Below are 24,198 nucleotides of genomic sequence, written 5' to 3' on the forward strand. Positions count from 1 at the left end.
AGGGCTAAACAGAAACCAGCCCTTTCAAAAGACTGCACCACTGAGTTCAACCAACCACCTGGTGCTGCTAAACCCTTTTGCAGTTTTGACAAAACAACCCCACATTCCCTCCTGATGAGAGACCACAGACAACGGGGTGGTTCTGTCCAGTCTAGGGAGGAGTGCAGTGAGAGCTTTCGTGTCCTCTGCTTCACCTTTGACATCAGAGGTCCTAAAACTCGCATGACCCTTGCATCATGCTAAGGCTGCATTTTTTTTTAACATAGTCTCACAGGGAAGCATGAAGCTGACTTGCACATGAGCATGCTTCTCCTCTCATAAATATTCATGACTCCTTCTGTAGCTTATTGAATATGTATATCTGGCCACCTAATTTAGCATGAATCCCTGTCTTACGCGTGTTTGTGGGGTTACGGGGGTTGGTACAGTAAAACACCCTTGAAGTTCCTGTTTCTGGGTTTTGGTTGTAAGCTATGGTTCTCAGCCTGCATGTTGCAATGTTTTATGAGAATCAAAGCTTTCCTTTCCAAATTTATGAATCTCGTCTTTCTTCCACTGACACAGAGCATGTCAAAGGTCTAGAATAGCAGCTGGAATTGTACTGCTGATCAAGGACACGAGTGGTTGAGGGCCTAAATCAGACAGGAACTCACTGATAGGTGTTGTATTACAGGGTGGATTCCCTAGCGGTTTGACCCTGAGCAAATTACTTAACCTCTTTAGACCTCTCTTCTCTAATATGGAAAATGTGAATTAATAACTACCACCTATAATATTGCTGCAAACAGCAAATGGTAGTGCATGGAAAGTATTTAGCATTCTGCTTTGGTTTGTTGTTGTTGGTCTTCCAATACTACCAAATTCTCCAACTCTCTGGACACCATCTGGGTGCCCTATAATTTAACTCAATTCTGATGCTACCAGGAGTTAGTGTGGACCCCACAAGACTGCACCCCATTTCAGATGCCAGTTGCAAGTGGTGGGTCCCCAGGTCACCTACAACTTCTGTCTGACTTGGCAACAAATTGGGAATTTCCATAACCTCCTTCTTAGATTTGATAATTTGCTATAATGGCTCATAGAACTCAGGGAAACATTTGCCTTATGTTTATCCGTTTGTTATAAAGGATACACCTCAGGAACAGCTGAACAGAAGGAATGCACAGGGAAGGTGTAGGCCAATGTGCATAGAGCTTCCACAATCTCTCAGGTTACAGCACGCCCCTAGCACCTGGATGTGTTCACACATCCTATCTTGTTGTTTAAGAGTTTTCAACAGAGCTTAGTCTCCAGCACTCTCTCCTTTTTGGAGGTTGACTGGTGAAGCTGAATGTTTCCATCCTCTACCACTTAGTCTTCCTGGCAACCAGCCACATCCTGAGGCTCTCTAGGGGTCCCACCTTAAGTCACCTCGTTAACATGAACTCAGGTGTGACCGAAGACACTCCTCTCACTCTAGAAATTACAAAGGTTTTAGGGGCTCTGTGCTAGGAACCAGGAACAAATACCAAATATATTTCTTATTATCTCACAGAGTATTGCCTGGTATGTAGGGAGTACTCCACGAGTGGCAGCAATGGTTATTTTTGAGGCAGATCATTGGTTTTGCTGTGCTTTGCAGGGAAAGGGTGACTGAACCAGGAAACTGAGGGCTCTTGTGGTCCAGGTCTAAAGCAAGAGCTCCAGGCTGGGTGAGGAAAGAGGTAAGAACAAGATGGGAGATTCAGAACACACAGGCACCCAGGGAGATAGGGATGATTTTCTTAATATTTCCAAGTGTGCTAGTAGTCACCTACATGGCCTTCAGTCTATTCTGGAGGCAATCTCAGAACCATCTGGGCAGGAAATTTTGGGCCTAGAATACCTGGGACATGATCTTTAAGGGCAGCTGGGGTGGTTCTCTGGCCTCGTGAATTCCTTGCCGTATCCAAGATGAGGTTCCTGAATGTCAAGGTACCATGCAGGGCCTTTACTTGCCTGGGCTGAGGACTCTACTGCCTGTCTAGACAGCTTCTAACTGTAGCAAACTAGAAAAGGATGCTTGTCCGTCAGAGTTGTTTTTCTTCATTTTCTGTAGAGTCTTTCTCATGTGATTGCAGTCCAAAGCAGTGCCTGGGGACCTTGTGCCTGAGGCATGAAGGTCTTGTCTTTCTGGCTTTGTCCTCATGTCCTATTTAGGTTTACAGTGGCAGGCACACTGTGACGATGTGAGGATGTCTCTTCTAAAAATGGATGCGAATTCTTCTCAAACCTCAAAGTTCCCCACGGTCTGCACGGGACTGAGCTTGGAGAGGAGAGCCCCTTTCTTCCCTTAGGAAATCCTTATCATAGAGTGGCAGGATCCCCCCTGCCCTTCATGTGGATGGCAAGCAGCGATTAAATCAGCATCTCTACAGTCACTGGCTAACAGGGAGCAAGGGGATTAACTGGTGCTCATTTTGCAAGTAATTAAAAAATGTGTTACCATGATGAACTCTGGGAAGAAATTTTCTGGAAGCAATATTTACTATTTGGAGAATTTCAACTCTGAGTCCTAAAAGAGCCTTCCAAGCAGCAAGGCTGGAAGTAGCTGCAAAAGGAATAATAACTTTCAACACTGGTGTCCATGTTTTACTGGGGCTGGGTCTCTCATTGGCTTCCTCATCAGAAAGCAAAAACATCAGATTGTCTCAGCTGTCTTATGGTGTCACAGAATTAGGGGATACTTAATGTCGCTGAGCATAGGAGACTGACAGTGCTTGCTTTGGGAATTGGAGGCTGGTGTAGTGGCCAAAACTCTATGTTCAGGGATGCCCTTAGTCTAGATATTCTGTCATGTTTCTAAAACCGTGTACTTCGATTTCAGGATGTTAGAATATTATCAAAGGTGGGTAGTGAATGTGCTTTTGGAGAAAAATCATATTAAACATTTTAGTAGGTGCTTTGTTATACAAGATGGAGAATTTGAAAAGCCATGTTCTAATTTAGGGCAGCATTTGAATGTTTCGCATCGTAGCAAGTTTCTCTTCTTTGCAAGAAGTGAGTGTGCTATATGGAGAGAAGAAATATGATGCTGGTCCTGGACAGCTGGAAACTGAGCAGGTGCTTAATTGTGCTATGCCTCAGTTTCCTCATCTGTAAAAGGAACATACTTTGGGCTGTAAGAGCTGACTGTGAAGAATAGATCAGACATTGTGTGTAAAGTGCCTATCCTAAGGAGTTGTTTGAAGCCACCTAATGCATGCCCTGGTTGCTGACCCTTTGCTCAGCTCTTGGGTCCACCTTTCATAGCTTCTTGAATCTCAGGATATCTGCTGGTTTAGACCATTTGCAGGGATCTAGTCTCTCCACTTTGCTTTATTGCTGGCTCTTTGTCCTGTCCTGAATTTTGCTTCCTACCCAACTTTGGGTCACACCATTGCCCTGACCTTTCCTATCTCCCTTTGTGCTCCTTGTTAGGGTGAGTGTGTCCCGCCCACTCCTCAACTTTTCTTCCATCCATCTCATGATGAAGGAGTAGCTTAATTCGATTGGTGAATCTGGAATAAATAAACTGGCAGGCTCAGCTCTAAGACCCCTTTTGTCCTTTTGGGATGAGCTGCCTCCAGGGAGCAGCAGTTTCTTTTAGCTTTCCCAGGCTGTGTCACCCTTGGGCAGACTCCTCCACACCCCACCTGGTATGGGTACCCTGGTTTTGCACTGCTTATAGGGCAGCCCCTCACAAAGCTCATTTGCCCACAGTTATCCGCTGTGTCCTTCAACTTGACTCTTTACTGGGAATAAAACTGAGAGTCTAGTGTCTAGGGAGGCATATTGGTTAAGAAATTGGTCTCTGGAGTTAAAGTACCTTGGTTCAAATCCAAGCTCTGCCACTCACTTGGAGTGAACATTTTTTGTGTGTGTGAAAATTTTGCAAACCCCTAAACCCCACTGACCCTCAGTTTTCCTTCTGTAAGAGGAGGGAAACAATAGAAACTACTTCATAGTTCTGTTGGGAGCATTATACGAGTTAGTATATGTACAATATTTGGAACAATGCCTGCCCCTGGTAACTATAACTGAGTGTTGGCTAACTGTACGTATCAGTGTATTCAGGGCTTGCCCAGGGAAGGTGGAGAAGAGCACCACTTAGGCACTTCAGAGACCCATTCCCAGGTCCTGTTCCTCTACTGGTACCCTCAAGGGTGGCTTCAGAGCCAAGGCCCTCCTGACCACACCCCAGCACCTGCCTTTGTCATGCTTCCCATGTAAGTCCACTTAATCCATGTGGGTTACTTCCCTAGGTTTCAAATCGATTATTATCTCCGCTGGAGGAGTAGGGAGCAAAATGAAAATGGAGCATTTGTCTCCTCCTCTGTCATCAGTTACCATCACCCCATTCCCCTAGACCATGGGCTACCTCCTACTCATTCATGTTGTGAATTCAAAGAGTGCTAGGATGCCCCATCTGTTTTTTACCCCAGCCTTCAAAAACTTCTGTCTGCTCTGGATTTTAACCTTTAGGAAATCGTTCTTGCAGATACGAACCACTGTTTGGTAATGATCTTTGGTAGATCAAGACCAATGGGTCTTCCATTGCTCTTTAGTTGGTTCCTTTAAATGCTGAGCTCTTTTGAGAGCCCCTCACCTTCTACCCCTTCAACAGCGATTTACTACTTGATCCCCTTTCTCATTTGGACAACCTTTATTAACCAATGGCTATGGGCTGGGTGTCTATGGGAAGGTAAGATAACTGCCACAGAAGAATGTGTAGTCCAGTGGTGCTTAAACCGTGCTCCATGGTGTACTATGTACCCTCTAGAGGCCCCTCACCAGTCACCATGGAGAGAATGTGTGTGTGTGTTGGGGGGGTGGTTCTGAGTGGTTGGGGTCTTACCCCACTCCCAACATCCGTCCAGCCCTGCTGTTTTTCTTTCTTTTGCATATTGAGCTTCTGAGCAAGATTTCATCCACAGAAAGGATTGCACTGTTAAAAAAGATAAAAAAAAAAAATAGTTGGGCCGGGCACGGTGGCTCACGCCTGTAATCCCAGCACTTTGGGAGGCTGAGGCAGGCAGATCATGAGGTCAAGAGATCGAGATCATCCTGGCCAACATGGTGAAACCCCGTCTCTACTAAAAATACAAAAATTAGCTGGGCCTGGTGGCGTCGGCCTGGTGGCACATCCCTGTAGTCCCAGCTGCTTGGGAGGCTGAGGCAGGAGAATCTCTTGAACCCGGGAGGCGGAGGTTGCAGTGAGCCAAGATCATGCCACTGCACTCCAGCCTGGTGACAGAGCGAGACTTCGTCTAAAAAAAAAAAAAAAAAAAAGTTGAAAAACTATTGACCTAATTTTTCCCACTGAATTTATTCAGCATGGCTTTTTATAGTGGTTTCACCCTCCCAGCTTGCATTTGGCCAACAGGATGACCTGGCCAATGTCTTGGCACCAGTCACCTACGGACTCAACCAGAGAGGACCTCTGAAGCTGTCCCCTCAGCAGGTGAGTGTCACCTTTTGTATTGGAGAAAGATGTTTTGTGGTCAAGGTTAGTATTATTTGCAATAATAAGTAAATAAGGAATTTGTTAGGGGAGGTATCACACATAAATTGACTCTGAAGGCAGTCTCAAAACAGTTTCAAAAATGTTTTAGGCAGTGACAACACTATTGAAACACACTCATGGCCCCTAAAAATACTAGAAGCTCTAAAATAAGCTCTCAAAGTTGTTTTGTAGGACTCATAATATCAAACTATAACTTTCCAAAGGACAGGAGACTGGACTTTTCTTTAACTTTGTGGTGTGTTTGTTATGGCAACAACCCAGGGATCTAAGATAATCAGGGGCTGATGGCTCAATCACTGATCTATAGAGATGCATCTAATATAACCAATCAATATCTGGCTCATTCTGTTTTTATAAAGATATTTATGCAATCCACATATTTGCATGTTCATAGAGCATTTCTGGAAGATGTTCTAGCATGTTAGCTTCATAGAGTAAGCCTTATGTTTTTCTGTTTTGTTCACTAATGTGGTCAAAGATGATGCCTGGCATGTAATAAATCTTTAATAGCTATGCATTGAATGAGTAAACTCACAATAAAATGGTAAGGGTGGTTACCTTTAGGGATTAGGACTAGAGATTGGTGAAACTATTACTTTTCAATTTATATCCACATATGGCATTTATATGAAGAGGGCAGGAAGACTGTCTGCTTTTCTCTTTGTATTTGCTCCTTTACCCACAGAGAGGAAGAAATTTCTGCCTTTGCTTTCACTGCTATCTTTTGGCCTTAAGACTCCTCCATGGCCAGCCCAAATCAAAAAGGAATGCACAATCTGGCTGGTTGTTCTTGGACCATGTATTCTTAGTGGGCAAGATTCCACTCTTCCTCTCTCATTTCCTATCTCCATTGCTTTACGATCAGGGCCCCCCTTCCAGAAGAAGGCCTGGTCATGATTCTACTCTCAATTTCAGCTTTTCCATTAGTGTTTGGTTCATGGGGCTAGAGGCACATGAGCATTGAAATTTGTCCTTGTCTTAGTTCATTTGGGCTGCTGTAACAAAATAACATAAATAGGTGGCTTATACACATCAGAAATTTATTTCTCTCAGCTCTGGAGGCTGGGAAGTTCAAAAGCAAGGCATTGGCAGATTTGGTATCTGGTAAAGGCCTGTTTTCTGGTTCATAGGTGGCCGTCTCCTCGCTGGAACCTCAGATAGCAGAAGGGACAAGGAAGCTGTCTGGGCTGGGGTCTCTTCTTTTTCTTTTTTTTGAGACAGAATCTTGCTCTGTTGCCCAGGCTGGAGTGCAGTGGCATGATTTCCGCTCACTGCAGCCTCTGCTTCCTGGGTTCAAGCCATTCCCCTGCCTCAGTCTCCCAAGTAGCTGGGACTACAGACATGTGCCACCATGCCCAACTAATTTTTGTATTTTTAGTAGAGACAGGGTTTCACCATGTTGCCCAGGCTGGTCTCGAACTCCTGAGCTCAAGTGATCCACTGGCCTCGGCCTCCGAACGTGCTGGGATTACAGGCATGAGCCACCACACCCAGCTGGGTCTCTTCCTGTAAGGACAAAAATCTCATTCATGAAGGCTTTGTCCTCATGACCTAATTACTTCCCAAAGGCCCCACCTCCAAATAGTTTTACAATGGGAAAGATGTTTTAACATATGGATTTTGGAGGGACACAAACATTCCTTCTGTGGCATTCCTCAAACCTGGATATTTTAGATACAAGCAAGTTGGGTATAGGAAACCCTGAGACAGAGCAGCTCAGCAGAGATGCTTTAATTTTGGCAACACAGCTCTCCTGGTGATTCATAAAAATTCTAAGTTGTAGGCTGGGTGCAGTGGCTCACGCCTATAGCCCCAGCACTTTGGGAGGCCAAGGCGGGCAGATCACCTGAGGTCGGGAGTTCGAGACCAGCCTGACCAACATGGAGAAACCCCATCTCTACTGAAAATACAAAATTAGCCAGGTGCGGTGGCGCATGCCTGTAATCCCAGCTACTCCGGAGGTTGAGGCAGGAGAATCACTTGAACCCAGGAGGCGGAGGTTGTGGAGAGCCGAGATTGTGCTATTGCACTCCAGCCTGGGCAACAAGAGCAAAACTCTGTCTCAAAAAAAAAAAAAAAAAATTGTAAGTTGTTTCCCATTTGGCTCTTGTCCTTCTAGGTACAGTTTCTGCAAATGAGGCCTGCAGTGTGGTATGTGATAGGATTCAGAAACCCAGAGCCCATCCCAACCTCATGATACTGCAGTGCTTTTACTTGTTTAGTTTACCATGTGCAGATGTAATTCTGAAATGAGTATATGGATCAGAACATAATAACATGTGGGGAGTGAGTACGAAAAAAGTATTTTTTCCTCCACCTACACAACAGAATAAAAGAGTTGTTTTTCATAAATTCTGTTGAAGGCAATTTGTATTTATAAACAGGAGAATTAATAATAATAATAGGCTGGCAGGATGATTTGGCATTAAGAGGCCTTTTGTCTAAGAAAACTAGTTCATAGAATCATTAAATACTTTGTTTAAAATTGAAAAGTAAAGGAACAGAGTTAACCCCAAAGCTTTGGTGTCTGAAGCAGAGACTTAACAAATTCAGTATGGGTGAGTGTAAGGAGTAAGTGCTATGTAATGACCAAAAAAAGGATTGTAATACTGCCACACATATCTCAGAAAAGTTGATCTACTAGGGAATGTGTGTGGATGGACACTTTTGCTGTTCTGAGATGTCTGTGATCTGTGCCAATAGGCATCAGTATTGTGTTAACAATAACAGCAATTGCAACAACAACACCTAAGACTCATTGAATGTTTATTATGAACTACACAGACATTCTTTACATGTATCGGTCCAATGAGGAAGCTTCTATTATTATCTCGTTTTACAGGTAAGGAAATGAACACTCAGGTTGGCTTAGGTCACATGCTGCTAAGGGGCATGGGTGGGATCAGTGGAGTGTTGAAGTTGGCTTGTACAGGCTCTTGAGAGCTGACTGTGCACACCTCTTCCCAACAGTGTGTTCAACAACATCATGTCGCTACCTTGAATTTGGCCATTGTGGGATAATTTACACCACAAAAATTGACAAAATGCCACACATCATGTGGCAATTTTGTTTTTTTTTTCCAGAGAGCTCATTGGCAAACATTCTAACAAATCACTAGATAGGATTCAAACCCAGGCAGTTTGACTGGAGAGCATTTTGGTAAAGATGCATGTTTTCAGGCCAAAGTATTGATAATGGTATTAACAATTTTCTTATTGTGTGAGCCACTTTTATTGGTTGGTTTTATAGATGAGCTTGAGGAGGCGGTGTCTCATTTACATGGGGCATAGTGGATTGGTTGGACCAGGTGTGCTATTTACATAGTACCAGAGGAGGCTGGCCATCCCACCCTAATCTTTTATTATGCAAATGAGGTCTTTACCTGGCCTGTGCCATGTTACCTGCACATGTGGCAACAAAGAAAAGGGAAGGGAAAACCTCCATTTTGAATATAACTGGCTTCCAGGTATCCCTTTTTTATTGGTACAGCTGCCGGCATTTACCTATGCAAGCTTCAAGCTTGCTTATCTGTGCCTGCAGCTTGATTTTTCAGGCTGCTTTTTGTTAGAAAAGAAATTATTTTGGGGCTGCTTTTTATTAAAAGGAAATTCCACTGAGAGCTCTTTTGCCCTAACTGCCTAAATAATTTCTTTTTAGCTCCTGTATTACTATCAGTTGACTTAGATGCCAAGGACTTTGGGTGGAAAATAATGATCCCTCTTCACCAGGAAGCAGATGCTCAGCTTTGTGGATAGTCAAAATGACAGCCACAAAAACCCCCTAGCAAGATCACTGAGAAAAAGAACAACCTGTAATTGCTGAGTGCTAACTATACGGCAGGCATTTCCTTAAATCTTTAACTTCATGGTTTTATTTCATTAGCCCAGAAGCCCTCTAATGATGTACAGTAGTCATTGTTCTCATTTTTGAGAAGAGGAAATGAGGATTTGGAGATGTTGAAACATTGGCTTGAGATCTTCTAAGTGGCGAGTGGTTGAGGGAATTAGGAGCCTATAACAGCTGCCAGACAATCTGACTCCAGAGTTCATGTCCCCAAGGAGGAAACCACATTGCTGAGGAGTCCCACTGAGGGAGTGGGGCCGAAAGGGTAGCCCTGAGGCTTTCAGGTTCTGAGCCCATGGCTAGAGAAGAACCTCCATCAAAGAACTCATCATCAAAACACAGCTGTGTTGTCTGTGATCTTCTCTGACCTCGGCCCTCATAACCTATTGCCTTGGCTATGGGTAACTTAATATGTCCTGTCTTGAACACATCCAACATTACCATGTGCCTGACTTCTAATACCACCTTCCCCTGCTACCTGCCTCTAAACCTGATGATCCAGGTGTATTCTGGTCCTTGCCCGTATCTTGAATGCGGCCCCTGTACACCCTATGTCCAATCTACCCTATTTATTGTTATTTGTTTTGCAGTATACTTTCTATTTTTTTTTAAAGTGAGGATATAAAAATGAGATTCTTGAAGAAAATAATAAAGTGTTGTCTTTGGAAGGTAAACTTAAAGGCACCTTATATTTTGCTCTTCCTATACTTATTTACTTATTTCCTACATTTTCTATAATGAATGAGTTATTTCTATCACAAAAAAATGCTACTTACAAACGGATAAATGAAGACAGTCTTAAAATAAATCTTAATACCTATTCATCCAAAAAGCAAAAGACACTTTGCAAACTATTACAATCTACCTCATTTAGCCCGCTGAAGACACCAATTTTCTTTGCACTACCCACTCCATTTCTCAAGAGACATTAACAACACACCATGATTGAAAAACTAGGGTGTTATGTGTTTAAAGAAAGAGGTTTAAAATATTTTATTAGAGAACACATATCAATATTGAACAACACTTAAATAGATGGCATTCATATTAATAAGGACAATATAAATTCTTATAATTTGAACAGTCAGTTTGTTCAACAAATAAAATAAATTCATTTTTATCAGTGGGCATGATCCATGAAGTATATTTTTTCAATAATTTATTCATCTGCTTAGTACTATATACATTCATTTTCTTTGAAAAGAAACATAAAATCAACGTGATTGTTTATCTCATCACATCATAAACAGATGGACCTGTAAAAATGGCGTGTAGAAAATTCAGAAACACTTAAACAGCACATTCCAAGGATACTGAGTCCATTTAAGAGAAATTAAACTCTTTGAAGCCATTGTAGTCAGCCTGGGTGTCATATATATTCATTGATACAAAATGTTGCCACAAATTCAAGTATAATGATTCACACACATAAATATATTATTCTGACACAGAAGAGAATGCTCCCTTGAATAGTATAGCGTGCATACCAAACTCTCAGCACGATTCAGATTAACTTTTTTTTTTAAATGGAAGGAAAGGTAATGACATCGTCAACTTAGTCGACCAAATACCAAACCTGGAGAAGGTGGATGTGGTTCACAAACACTGCACAGTTAGAAATTGCACCTTACATGGAATCTTATTTGTCACAACAATTGTTAAAGGTTACAGAAAAACCATAGCAGCTAAAATCAGCCAGTCAGCCCACATTTGCTTCTCTGGCAACATGGAAATGCTGTGTTTGTATTTTAAACAAATGTAACAAGGAGACAAGCAGAAACGCTGCAGCAAGCCAGGAAATGTCACCGGGTTCATGGTTAAATGGCGTCAGCTTTATTTACTAAAGTATAATTTTAATTTCACAGGCAAAATGAACCTCCAGATTTGTTTTCCTTAGCCCCAGCAAGTCAAGTCCTTCCTAACTGTTAGTTGATTGCAAAAGTGCAGCTTCAAGTCTGTCCCTTTTGCTTTCATTTCCCCCCTGCCCCACCTCTGCTCCATCAGGTTTGTAACACAAGCAGACACTCTTTCATACGCTTCAATGTAGCGTGAGCTGTGACCCTTGGATGGTGTGAAAGCCAGCCTTTGGGGATATTATAGTGATTCAGTTATTTTCTGTTTTTTCTTTTTGTTGTTGTTGTTGTTGTTGGAAAAACTTGTTTTTTAAAAACATGCTGCATAACATCTTCTTGCTAAAAACAATTTCTCAATTAGTAGGAACACTGAATTGCTTTGTATATGATTTGCTTGTTAAGAAGTCCAAAGCATTTGGTTATTCTTAAGAATTAAGCACTTCCATTCTTGGGCAAATATTTATTTGTATGAAGAGAAAGAAATAGACCTCCTTTTTTTTTTTTTCTCTGTTTAGCCATCCCACTGTAATGCTGCACTAAGCCTTGAGAACAAAGAGAATCACGCAACTGGGAAACCAAGGCTTTGTGATTTTCAGCCAAGCCAAACATGGTCACTCTGTCAGGAAAGCCTTGGACTCATCCCTGACTGACTGGCTGTTTCAGTGAGTTCTTTCTTGGCTTAAAAAAAAGAGTGAGAAGAAGAGCAGTTGTGTGGTTTGCCTGTGGGGACTTGGGCAATGGGGGTTTGTAGAGCCAAGTGGCCACCATGATAAGCGAGACTGACTTCCCTGTGCCCCGACATTTGGGAGGAGGCAGCACCCCCAGCACACGCCTGAGGTTCACCAGCCCCTGGGCCTTGGCACAGATTCCTCCCTTCTTTGCCTGGAACAACTGTTTCTGTTCCCCACCCCATTGTGTCCTCCAGGATTCACCGTAGAGATCACCACTTTTGATAAGCCTAACTCTGCAGCCGGCTGAGGCCCTTCACCAAGCTCCCATGGCACTGTATTACCATCACAGGTGCTTGGAGGGCAAGGACTATGTCTCTGCCCTTGTTATTCTCCACCCCCTGGACTTGGCGCTGGAGCACAGTAACCCCACACTGAATATTATAGAGTGAATAAAGAAATGAGAGAGCAGAGACTGCAAGAGCAGCTCTCTTTGAACGAAGGGGATTTTGTTTTGCAGGGTGATTTTCATGTCTATGAATGTTCTAGAATTTGAGGGACACTAACTTTTACAAGTTAAATGTGCCTAACTTTTTTTTTCTTTTAAAATATTTTATTCTGAAAAATTTCAAACATGCACAAACATGGAAGAACGGCATGTGGCCTTGCCTGCCATTCTTATTTCATCTATCACACTTGCTTCCCCACTTTTGGCAATAAAACTTTAAAGCAAATTGCAAACATACTTCGATATGCACTTACCAGTTAAGGACAATGCCATTATCACATCCAACAAAATTTAAAATAACGATCTAATTATCTAACATCTAATAGGACACAGCCTATGCTTAATTTTCTCCAATTACTTCAAAAATGTCTTTTTACACTTTGTTTCAATCTAAATGAACAAGGCTTGTACAGTATACTTGATGAATACATCTCTTAAGAATATTTTAACCCATAAAAGTTCCCCTTTTAAAAATGCCATTTACTTATTGAAGAAACTGGGGTGCCTTATGGAATTCCTCACACCCTACACGTGGCTGATGATTCTCAATTAACTTTTAAGAATGAAATGGGGGAGGGAGGTTGTATGAAACTGATTTACAAAAAATCGAGCTATTTGTCCCTGAAGGCTCTTTTCCTCTTTCCCTTTGCATTCATGATCATTCCTTAAGTTACTGTTTTTCCTGTATCAGTAACAGTAACATGTTGGATTTGTGCCTTAGTCAGATGGATGCTTGATAAAGAAGTAAATCCAAGTGTCAGGCAAGGCTCCTGGGCTCCTGGGGTGGATTCCAAAGACAGTGGGTCGCAGGACCAGTGGTGGGTTTCATGCTCCCCTTCCTTGGGCAGTAAGGACAACAGTCGTGGACGGGAAGCTGGCTTCATGTCATGGGTGTGTGTCCCTTTAAAACACAAGGTAGACTAACATTTAATTAATCATGCATTTTTAATATCCTAGGCATCATGCATCAATGTGATCACAATTTTATCCTTTTGTAGAGTAAGAATTCTTACTCCAAACCCAATGTGTCCATTTTTCCAAGTTCAGACTTCAGTAGAGCGGGTTCTCAAGTTGAGGATCCCTCTCATTTCCTCATTAGCCAGGCTGGTCACATTCTGCTCCCTGTGAGATGATGCTTTTGGTCTTCTTTCTCCAAACACTGAAAGAACTGAATACTCTTCTTTTTAATTTGGGCCAACACCAATCCGTTCATCCTTGCAGCTGCTTCTCAAAATCCAGAAGACTGAAATAGCCATAGACTGTGTTTATATAAAGCAGAGTTGGGCCAAGAACCTCATCCCCGAAAGTGACTTTTTTTCCTCTCTTTAAAACAAGTTTGAGATTCTGAGTCACGAGAGACCATTTGGCAGGGAGATGGCAGCAAGTCCCTGCCAAATTCAGCCTCCGAGCATGGCTGACTACCCCGTCAGCCTGAGTCGTGGTGAGCTGAGCTTGCAGTGTGGACTTCCCTGTGAAGCCACCTGCCTAGAAGGCTGCTGGAGACCACTTAAAGGGTGCCCCAGAAATGTCTAGACTCGACTGGCAGAACCTGAAATTAGAACTAAGATTGTGACCTGGAGCTTCCATGAGAGTCTGGAAGTACAGCTTCAAGTCTGTCCCTTTTGCTTCCATTTCCCCCACCCCCCACCTCTGCTCCATCAGGTTTGTAACACAAGCAGACACTCTTTCATATGCTTCAATGTAGCATGAGGTGTGACCTTTGTATGATGTGAAAGCCAGGCTTTGGGGGTATTATGGTGATCTTCAATTTGCAGTGAAGTCAAAACGACCTCTGTTCATGATTGGGAATTTGTGGTTTTGGCTTGTAAACATTTACTTCCAGTAGTTGCCCACGCCAAGAGGTGTTCATCCCATATTTCCTTAGATGATGTTACATCTTAGTTTTGCTTCAAATGCTGTACTGTCTTCCAGTGGTCAAAACTACTTCTCTTTCCCATAACATCATTTATATAAGCACACGCACACACACAGGCAGACACTCACACCTTTTCTATAATGACTGCATTTTATGTAGCATCTTTCATAGGACAACTATGATAACTTAATATACTTTCTATTGCTAAGTAAGTAGCCAATGTGAGGAAGATGACAAACGCCAGCCTTGGATACTCTTGTTCTGGGCTGTCTACAATTCAGAGAGCTTGGTGGAAATCTTCAAAGTAGTGTAGTTTGCCTGATTTTTAAAAGCTAAGACAAATTTTCCAGGTGGGGATATTTCCAACCCAAAGAAAATAGTGTGGTGTGGGGAATAACTGAGAGTTGGGATTTAGTGCCTAGCACCTTGAATGTAGGAATGACAGGACCTGAGCCGCGGTGCAGCAGGTAGTTTGTGACCTGCTTTCTAATTACAGAGAAATGAATGTCTTCAGGTGGGGATGACCAGCTCCTGGAAATGTAAACCTGAAGTGAGATAAAGAGCAAAGGAAAGTGAAGGACTTATTTTCTCTCTTCCTGCACATGGCACTTTCAGTGCTTGAAGATACTTTAAAGGTGATCTAATTTTTAGTTGTGTCTTATTCAGATGGCATTTGAGAGGGGAAATGAAGATGGGAATAGAGTGCTAGCATTTATAGGGGGCCTACTATGATTTTATAGCTTTATCACCTCATAAGGCATTTCATGTACACAATTGTATCTGCTAATCCCATTTCACAGGTGAGGAAAATGGCTCAAGAGAGGTCACGTGATTTGTTCAGGGCCACTTAAATAGGTACAGAGATGGGAACTGCAATGAAGCCCAGGCCCGTGGTTCCCAGTCCATCATCGGTCTTCTCTCAACACCATTTTCCAGGTCCTTCCAGTGCCCTTCCTAGCATGGGCATTGGGGTGGAGTTGGGAAGGTCACGTTTAGCAAGCTAAGAGGTGAGCACAGGAGAACACCAGGAGAACACACAAGAGAGCGCAGCTCTTTCCAGTATTTCTCTTTTTCAAAACTCCCTGCAGACTTGACTTACTTGCCTCTTCTCATACCCATAATGTTGTATTTATTCTCTGGGAAAATTTTTTTTTGTAATGTGACTATGAAATCTCATACCTTACCATATCATGTGCAAAAACTTGGCATGTAGTGGATACTCTGAAAATACAATTTTTACTATTTAAACTTTATCTTTGTAAATCATCATGGATGCATTATAGGCAGCAAAATGATTTCGTTGTCAGGAATATTGGATTAAGTTTCTGTGTTAATACTGGAGAGTGAATTGCTTGTGACTTGTTATACCCAGAGATAAAAATAGTTTGTTTTCTCTCACATCTGATGAAGAAAGCATGTGTTTTTGATTCAGCTTTAAATACTGAGGCAGAATTTCTGTTGCACAAATGTCAGCTCTCACTTGTTGAAGTTTAGGTATCAGGGTTGCATATGGTATTCAGAAGAGGAAGACGGGGCCAGATAAGCTGCTGGGAATGGAGATGAAAGCAAGCAAGGGACCTCAGTTTTTATTCAATTACTTCCCAATAAAAGTATGACTCTTTTTTTTTAAAGTATGTAGAAAACTAGCAATGGATTGTTATTTAAATATTTGTAATGCTTGCTTTGATCTTCAAAATACTTCACAGAAGTACTTTTTAATAGCCTTCCTACTTGTCGGATTGAATTTGGGCATCCTTATTTGTAGATTCAAGCTGTCATTCAGCACCACATTCATCAAGGTCTCCTCCTTCTCTGCTCTTTACAACCACTGTCACCTCTGTTATGACTCCAGGACTGACTCGGGGAGGCACTGTGGGGCACGAAGTACTCTGCCCGATGCTCAGCTTTTGATTAATGGGCCACAGCCCTCCCATCCCTTGAGACTTCAGTTAGCCGAACTCTTTTCCTTAAGAAAGATAAGGCTGCATTTAGCAACAGGGATGAAGACAAGGGAGGAGAAGAAACGCAATTTTTAAAGATAAATCAATAAGCCATTGCTACACTTATTCGAACTTGGTTTTGGATGGCTTTTGGGCTTGAAAAGACAGAATACTTTTGTAGGCTTTGCCTTTTGATGTGATTTTCCCCCTGTCATTTCTAGATTGGACTGAAGCTGGTGCATCACGTGACTCTAGATAGCAAGGGTGTTCTGATGTGATTGATATTGTGGAACCAGATATACTTGCAACCTGAGAGTCCCCAGGGAGGAAGGAGGTGGATAGGAGGCCACAGCGGCATGGTGTCTTGCCCAGAAAACACAACAGTAGGTACTATGCAGTTAGAACAGTCCTGATTCTTCCAAATGAGGATAAATGCTCCTCGCTTCTCAGCAGGAACCAGGACAGAAGAGAATATATCACTCTGTGTCTGTCAGGGAACACTGTGAGGCAATACAAGGGTCTTGGGTTGGGTGATTAAGTGGAAATGGCATGGGATTTTTCAAGAGGCACAAGGTGTGCAGGCCAGGATGCCCTGAGACCAGGCAGAGTGGGTGGCAGGGCAGCAGGACCGTCTCATTGTGCTCATGAAGGCTTAGGCTTTAAGAGTGGGAGGTGGTCTTCAGAAGGTCGAAATTAAGAGAGCTTTTAGCAGGGCCTGGCTGTCTACATCCTCATATCAAATCCAAACAGTGCAGCTTCCTTTCCTCTTTTCTGTCTTTCTTAGACTATGAGAAGAGTAGAGGAAAACTACATGAGGCTCCTTGGCACCCATTTTTCAAGCCAGTCATGATACAGGGCAGACAGCACTGACATACCCTTAACCCACCTATCACTGGCACGGGTGCCCCAGGGTGATCACAGGGCTCTCATGTGGTCCTCAATGCCCCAGTTCCCAAGATTGGGCTCTGCTGTTGGTTCTTATCCCATCTTGTTCTGCCTCACCCTCCTCTCGGAGTCTAGGGTCTGTCCTATTTAATGATGGGGCTCTGCTTCCTCAGGTGCAAATGTCTCTGGGTAAGCATATGCCCACCTGACTCGAGATGGCTGTGATTCCCCACTGCTGACCTGGGGTTCCCCACTGCTGTGCTCTGCACACCTAACTGGGATCTTACTGTCCCTTAGAATCCTCAGGGTCATCAACTTGAGCCTTTCTGGGTGGATCTTCTGATGTTTCCAGGTCCCTGGGGACTGGCCTCCCAGCTGCTATCTGTAACTAGTGGTTGGATCTTATTACTTGTTCTGCTGTGCACCCCTCTCTCCATGCCTGCTTAGGGGCTGGAGTACTGTCATGGGCATGCTAAGTGACAGACCATTGCTGCCATCCAGGAGTTCTCCTCTAGTTGAGAAGACAGAACTTATATAAGTACAGTATATACAAGGTACCCTTTAAAATACTTTAAATAGATATAAACTTTAAAAAACAACAGAAAAATTACAACAGAGTACAGAATTAGTTGCCAAATACATTCTACAGACAATTGCTGTAAGAACTTGGAGAGAAATTGGGATGATCAGAAATGGCTGAATTTAAACTTCTAATCTGGGAAAAGAATTATGGATAACATTTTGTATGGGCAGAAATGAGAGAGTGAGGAGGGAGTCCTTGTGGGCTCAAATGAGTCTCCTACAGATTCCTATGTTGAAGTCCCCAGGACCTCAGAATGTGACTGTATTCGGCGATAGTGCCTTTTAAGGCATGGTGTGGTTAAATAAGGTGATGAGGGTGGACCCAAATCCAATAAAACCGGTGTCCTTATAAGAAGAAGAAATTGGGACAGAGAAATGCAGAGGAAAGACCAAGTGAAGACACAGGGAGAAGATATCTATCTACAAGTCAAGGAGAGATACCTCACAGGAAACAACCAGCCAACGCCTTAATCTTGGATTTTCCAACCTCCAGAATGGTGAGGCAATGCATTTCTCTTTTTGAAGCCACCCCATTTGTTATGATTGGCTAGGACACTAATATGGCAGGGCTACAAATGCATGGAGCTGTGCTGTATCTGCAAATGCAGGAGCATACTCGTTGGGAGAAGATCCTTTACTTAAAGCAGAAAAGTTCCTGGAACAAGAATATGATAAGTTGGCAGAAGGACTCTGTGAACAAGTTCCAGTAGCAGATGGGCTGCTGGGGACAGGGACGAAGAGCAGAGCGCCAGAAGAGAAAGAACACCCTTTGCCTGGTTGACAGTTTTGCTTAGGGTATACATTCCGATGGGTTAAGCATTGCTCAATGCTAACATAAAACCAGGTTTACTTTATGGGATTAATCAAGGCCTTGAAGACCCTCAGGCACTCCTAAGGGGGAAAGTCAAAAAGAAAGGAACAATAAAGGAAAGAGACAGAAGATGCAGAAGAAGAGAAAGAGAAGGTTACTTTGCTGGGCTCAGTAGAGACTTTCGAACCATCAGAGAGTGGTAAGAGGTGCACACCAGGGAGGCTCATAGAAATACTGCAGCCACCCACTCTGACCACCAGCTCTTTTCCAAAATGTGGCTGCACGTTGTTTGTACCTTTCACTTGGAAGTAATTGTGTAAGAACAGGAAGGCAGCACTGCAAGCAGAGGGTAAAAGTCATTGGGGGCCTTCAGAATGTCCTCATCCTCCTGGCACTGTCTCCTGCCCTGGGCTCTCTGGAAGCTGTGGGCCTGGAGCTCACAGAATCAGGCTGACCTGGGAAGAGGATGGAGTTGCTGAGAGCAGCCCCATCTCATCACTCAGAGCTATGCATGGAGCATGGATTCCATGGGAAATGGCACCCTCTGGAGCAAGGGCACCCACCCCAGCTTCTTTCACTGTTTGTAAGTTTAGCAAGAAGGGGAGAGTGGAATAATGGAGAGGATGGGATCAAGAAAGGAGATGGGAAAGATGAAAGGGCACAGGACCAAGACCAAACAGGGGACGAAGAAGGGAAGGGAGGGAAAGCTGCCATGAAGCATCAGCCAAAGGTCACAGATTACTTAATGGCCTCAGTATTTCCAGGTTCTTCCATATCAGTTCTGCACCCACCACCATCCACGCCCCATCTCAGAGCTCTGCTGTGGAGCCTCCTCTCTCAACACTGTGAACACCGTGCCCTCGGCTGCAGGAACTGCACCTTATTTCTGATTGGGAGAGTCTTTCTCTTCCTCGTTGCCCATCAGGACTGGAGAGAGGAAGGAACAAGAGGTCCCTCCAACAAGTGTGTCAGCTCAGGGAAACATGAATCTGGTATTCTTAGGGGAGGGCTAAATATGCTTCCCCATAGTAATATCATTTCTATTCCAGTTAGTCAAAGGAAAAGGAAAAATAAGAAAAGAAGGAAGAAGTAGAGGAGGAGGAGGAGGAGGAAGAAGAGAAAAAGGAGGAGAGAAATTCTGCATCCTATCTGTCATTTGGAAATGCCCCTCATACCCAGCATGCTTTCTGAACCCCATGGCTCTCCTTGGTGAGCTCCAGGCAGGCCCTCAAATGCCCTGGTGTGGGGTGCCATGTCCAGGAGGCCTTCCCAAGGAGCCAAGTGTGGCCCTGAAATTCTCTTGGGGTCCTCTGGGGACTTCCACTTGGGCAGGTCCCAAGGGTCTGGGAGAAATTTCAGGTTGGCCTTGGTCAGGAGGTGTGTATTTATTGTTGCTACTCTTAGGGTCAGCCAGATTGTGCTGTGGGGGTTTCCCTGATGAGGTGAGGAGCTGAATGATATTGAGGCTACCTGGGCCCCAGTGGACCTTTCTGCTCTACAGATGACAGCAGTGGGGGTGGCGGATGCTCACCTCTTATCCTGATACCTGCTTGGAAGGTCACAACAATTCATGGAGTGGGGCCACTTTGAATATGGACTTGCCACTTTATCCAATGACTCATGCAGGTTAGCCAAGTGGAGTTGTGTCAATGGCATATGAAAAAAATATTTGTATGTGGAACACCGAAACCTATTGTTTAGCATCATCTGTACTACACTGTTAGCTAGTAACGGCATAGATCATGACGGCAAATTACGGCCCATGAGCTCACTCCGGCCTGCAGCCTGTTTTTTTGTTTGTTTTGTTTTGTTTGAGAGAAGAAGGGTTTTTACATTTTAGAGGGTTGTCCCCCTCCCTGCAAAAAGTCAAAACAGATAAGAATGTGTGATAGAGACTGTATGACCCCACAATGCCTAAAATATTTACTATCTAGTCACATACAGAAAAGGTTTGCAAACTCCTAATATACATTAAATAGATTTTTATTTTTTGGTTAATCTGGGAACATCCTCCCCCTCCCCCATTTATAACAATGCCTCTTGGAAAAATGCATTCTTGACTTTGAAACAGATGAACTTGAACTCTATCCAGCTTGTAAGCTGGGGACTCTCTGTGCCTCTCTGTGTTTTTCATGCCAAGTGCAGGGCGGGGTGCAGGAGAGGTTGTTTGCTGCTGCTGATGACCAGTGGGTATGCAATGACCCACAGGCTGACCGGGAAAAGAATTATTTCCCAAACTCCCTTTGGGACCTCTACGTTCCTGAGGACATTAAGGTGGCAATCACTGCCTTACATGTCACCCTGTGGAGCAAACCAAGAGCCTCCTGCCCTGCCTATTTCCTTGGCTCTGCTGCTGCCATCTAGGGAGAAACAACAGAATCACATGTGCTTGTCTGTCAGTCAATGACAGAAGCATAGACAAATTTGCCCTCGGCCCCTAGAACAGTGACATGCTGCCCAGCCATGGCAGAGATAAGGCAGGAGAGAAAGTGCCAATAGAGCTGGAATTATAGGTCAGGGACAAATGAGTGAGATATGAACGTCAAGAGTGTCGAGAAACACAGTGGACCTGGGAAACATGGAGGTGTCATGGAAAAAGGAGTCGGAGGCTGGATTTGGGGATATTCAAAGAAACCCTTAAATCTCCCACCTCCTCTTTTCTTTATATGCTAAAGTGTAGGTAATAATCTCTTCCTTCTCCTTCTACTGCACAGGGATGACTTAAGATAGGCACAATTACTTTGACAAACATAAAGTGCTATATAAACGGACAGAAATATTAAACTCAAGTTGGGATTTTTCTGTCTTAGCTTTCTCTCTACTGCGTTTGAATGCACCTACAGGATCCGGCTTTTGAAGAAGCCAGTGCCGTCATTTTTTTCTCAAAATACAGTGTACATTTGCTCTTAGATTTTCTGCCTAATTAAGTCTGTAGTTTTTATAGTTTAGTAATAATCATTTCCAGTTTATAACGTGGCTGCACTGAATATGATACAGAGAGAGAAAAAGTAAAGTAATAACTCCTGAGCCACACGAAAAGGAAAGGCAATTATTTTGTCTTTTGAAATGAATAAGCCACAATCTTTAGGGCAGTTCCTTGCTTATCAGTTGCAGCAAGCCATGACTCAACCATCCTGCTTTAAGCGACGTCTATGGTAAATCTTCCTGCTCCTAAACCCCTCTAACCCCAAACCCCACAACCTTCCTTTTAGGTGGGAGAACCAGTAATCCATGTTGCAGCAGCAAAGCAGAAATGACAATTTCCTGAATAGAGCAGATAAGGCCAATTCTCAACCCCTCCTCCACATTTGGGTCTGGGGAGCGTGAATGAGCTAATGCTGATGGGAGCAGGGCTGGTGTCCTCCACTGAAATTCTAACTTGCTTTTGTCAGCCTAGCCCCACAGTGATCATCTCCACTCATTCTGCTCCCAGGGGTTCTGGAGGGCCAGGAGGCCACAGCTGCCATTGCTTTCTGAAGATGGTTGGCACCACAGCAGCCTGGCTCAGCCCAGCTCCCCAGCACAGTCTGCAGATACGGGGCAGGTGCAAACAGTGTTCCAACTGGGCTCCACTGGAGCTGTGCGCAGGTGGTTTCATAGTTAAAAGTCCTAGTAGTGTAAAAAAATCAGAGTAACTGGTAGGCATACCTCTGATGTCTCCATATTTGCCTCCTCTGCTTTCTTTTCACTTGGTTTTTCCTTGGAGAGTTTACCTCCCATCTGCTTCAGTGCCCTTTGCTAATGAGCAGAGCTCTTTCTTTAATTAAGTCAACAAGTATTCACACACAGAGGCAGCATCTTTTTTGGCCAAAGGACCTGAGCAGACCAGCCCCAGAAGCAATTGAGAAAGTTTGTCAAGCTCTGATTAAGTAGCTGTGATCAGAGTGAAAAATTGCCTGCCCAAGCAAATAGTTCCTAAAATGTTCTCACTACCAGGTCTTAACCATGAAACCTACTGGGCCAGAAGGTTGGGATATCCAGTTTTCACTTAGGAACAAGCGATGTCACATAATACATAGCCATAGCTTCCAGCTGACTCCTCATTTGCAGACTGCCTAGGTCTCCAGCTACCTGGAGATCAGCATTCTGAACCCTTTCTCCACGGTGGCATCATAAAATTCACATGCTTGATATGCTCTCTGCAATTCTTGGTGAAATATCTACAATCCATTCCCCTCTGTCCAAACAAAAAAAAAGTTGGAATACAGGTGAGTGAGAGTGAGTTATGTCGTATTTGCTTTCATTTATTTTTAAAAGGGATGTACTTCCCAAAAGTGTTTCTATGAACTGTGGTTGGTCATCAATAACTTCAATACAACACCCGATATGTGTCCTGTCAGCAACTGCATTTTACTGTTCTTGGCCAATGTGGCCCCTTCTGCATACTCTTCTATGCCCATCTTCCCCCAGCGTGCCATAGTATGTCCTCCTTGCAAGGCCTTAATCACATTCCAGGCCATTAACTCCTAAAAATGTGATGCAGTCTGATAGAAGTGCAGACACCAAATTCTTCCACAGATGCCCTGCTCTTGGGTTTGACTGGGCTGGAGATTTGGCAGCATGTTTGCCATGGTTAATTTGGAGGCAAATCTCAAGGAAACAGAACATTAAAAAGTTTGGATATGGCTTGGCATCCTCAGCACACCTAATCCAAATGGGAAAACGTTTACCCCCATTCTCTTGAGGAAGGGGGGCTATGGAAAATGTGCAGGTTGAGAATAGGGAGACCCAGGTTTAAATCATGGTTCCCCTTGGCCTTGGGCAAGTCCTTAACCTCTTACAATGATCAGATTTTTATCTGTAAAATAGGGGTAGCAGAGTTTCCAAGGAGTTTAGAGGCAATGGGTGCAAAATTCCCTGAAGATGCCTGGCACACTGTAGGACCTAACAAAAATCTTAAGAGAATATTTATTTACCCAAACACTACTGTCTACCATGGAATATTTATTTTTGAATATTTTGGAGAGTGTTAGATATGCTATGTGACGACAAGCAGAAACCCTCTTGGATAAGACATGAGAGAGGCAAAGGAAAGAAAACTGATGAGTAAAATGCTTTTCTGAAATCCTTGACATAATCTGGGGAAATTTTTGAATAATGAGATTCAGGGTCTCTCATAATGCATGCAGTTTGAGTTGCAGAATAAACTCAAATTTTCCCTGTCCCATAATGTCAGAATAAACTCAAACTTGCCCTATCCCATAATGTCACGTTGATTTTTGTGATGTTTAGACAATCCCAAAGCAACTACTTTTTATAACACATTAGAGAAGACATCGTTACTCTGGGTAAATTCCTCAAACTCCAAATAGAAGCAGTAAACATGTGAGTATAAATATGACAATCATTTGCTAAACTGCAACAATTTTAGATATTTTTTGGCATGCTTAAAGGTACAGAGATTTAGGGGGAATGAGCGAAAAGTAATTCAACTCATATATTCTTTACCCCACTTTGACTAAGTTTTGGGTGACGTTATCAATTTCTTGTAAATTTGGTGTATCATGCTATGGGAAAGGAAAAAAATGTTAAAAGTTTACCTCCCTGGAGAGAGGGGGCTGGAGAAGAGTGTAGCAGAAAATTATTTACGGATAGTTTTACATGGATACAATTGTCATGGTTTTAATCCGTTGACTGAAAGATTCTCTAGTTGTTTATTTTGATTAGATGTGGCATTAGGGCCAGATTTCCTGTATTTCTAAGCTTT

The 24,198-nt window shown here is 43.2% G+C and overlaps 1 protein-coding gene across 9 annotated transcripts in view; it reads right to left on the bottom strand.

Moving 5' to 3' along the window:
• The window catches only part of ADRA1A (adrenoceptor alpha 1A), a 119,230-nt gene continuing 99,700 nt past the window's right edge, over positions 4,669 to 24,198 (bottom strand). For 5 of the 9 annotated variants that reach the window (NR_136343.1, XM_017013094.2, XM_017013095.2 and 2 more), the window contains one exon: positions 4,669 to 5,267. Coding sequence is in view for 8 of the 9 variants with exons in the window: in NM_001322503.1 (NP_001309432.1) it covers positions 5,038 to 5,267 (230 nt within the window). In the remaining variant the exon portion in view is untranslated. Of the gene's footprint in view, positions 5,268 to 10,333; positions 13,299 to 22,372; positions 22,669 to 24,198 lie in introns of those variants that run through there. The other 4 variants (XM_006716293.5, NM_001322502.1, NM_033302.3 and 1 more) reach the window with 2 other exon arrangements.

The sequence above is a fragment of the Homo sapiens genome, chromosome 8 (assembly GCF_000001405.40).
Source record: "Homo sapiens chromosome 8, GRCh38.p14 Primary Assembly".
NCBI lineage: Eukaryota > Metazoa > Chordata > Mammalia > Primates > Hominidae > Homo > Homo sapiens.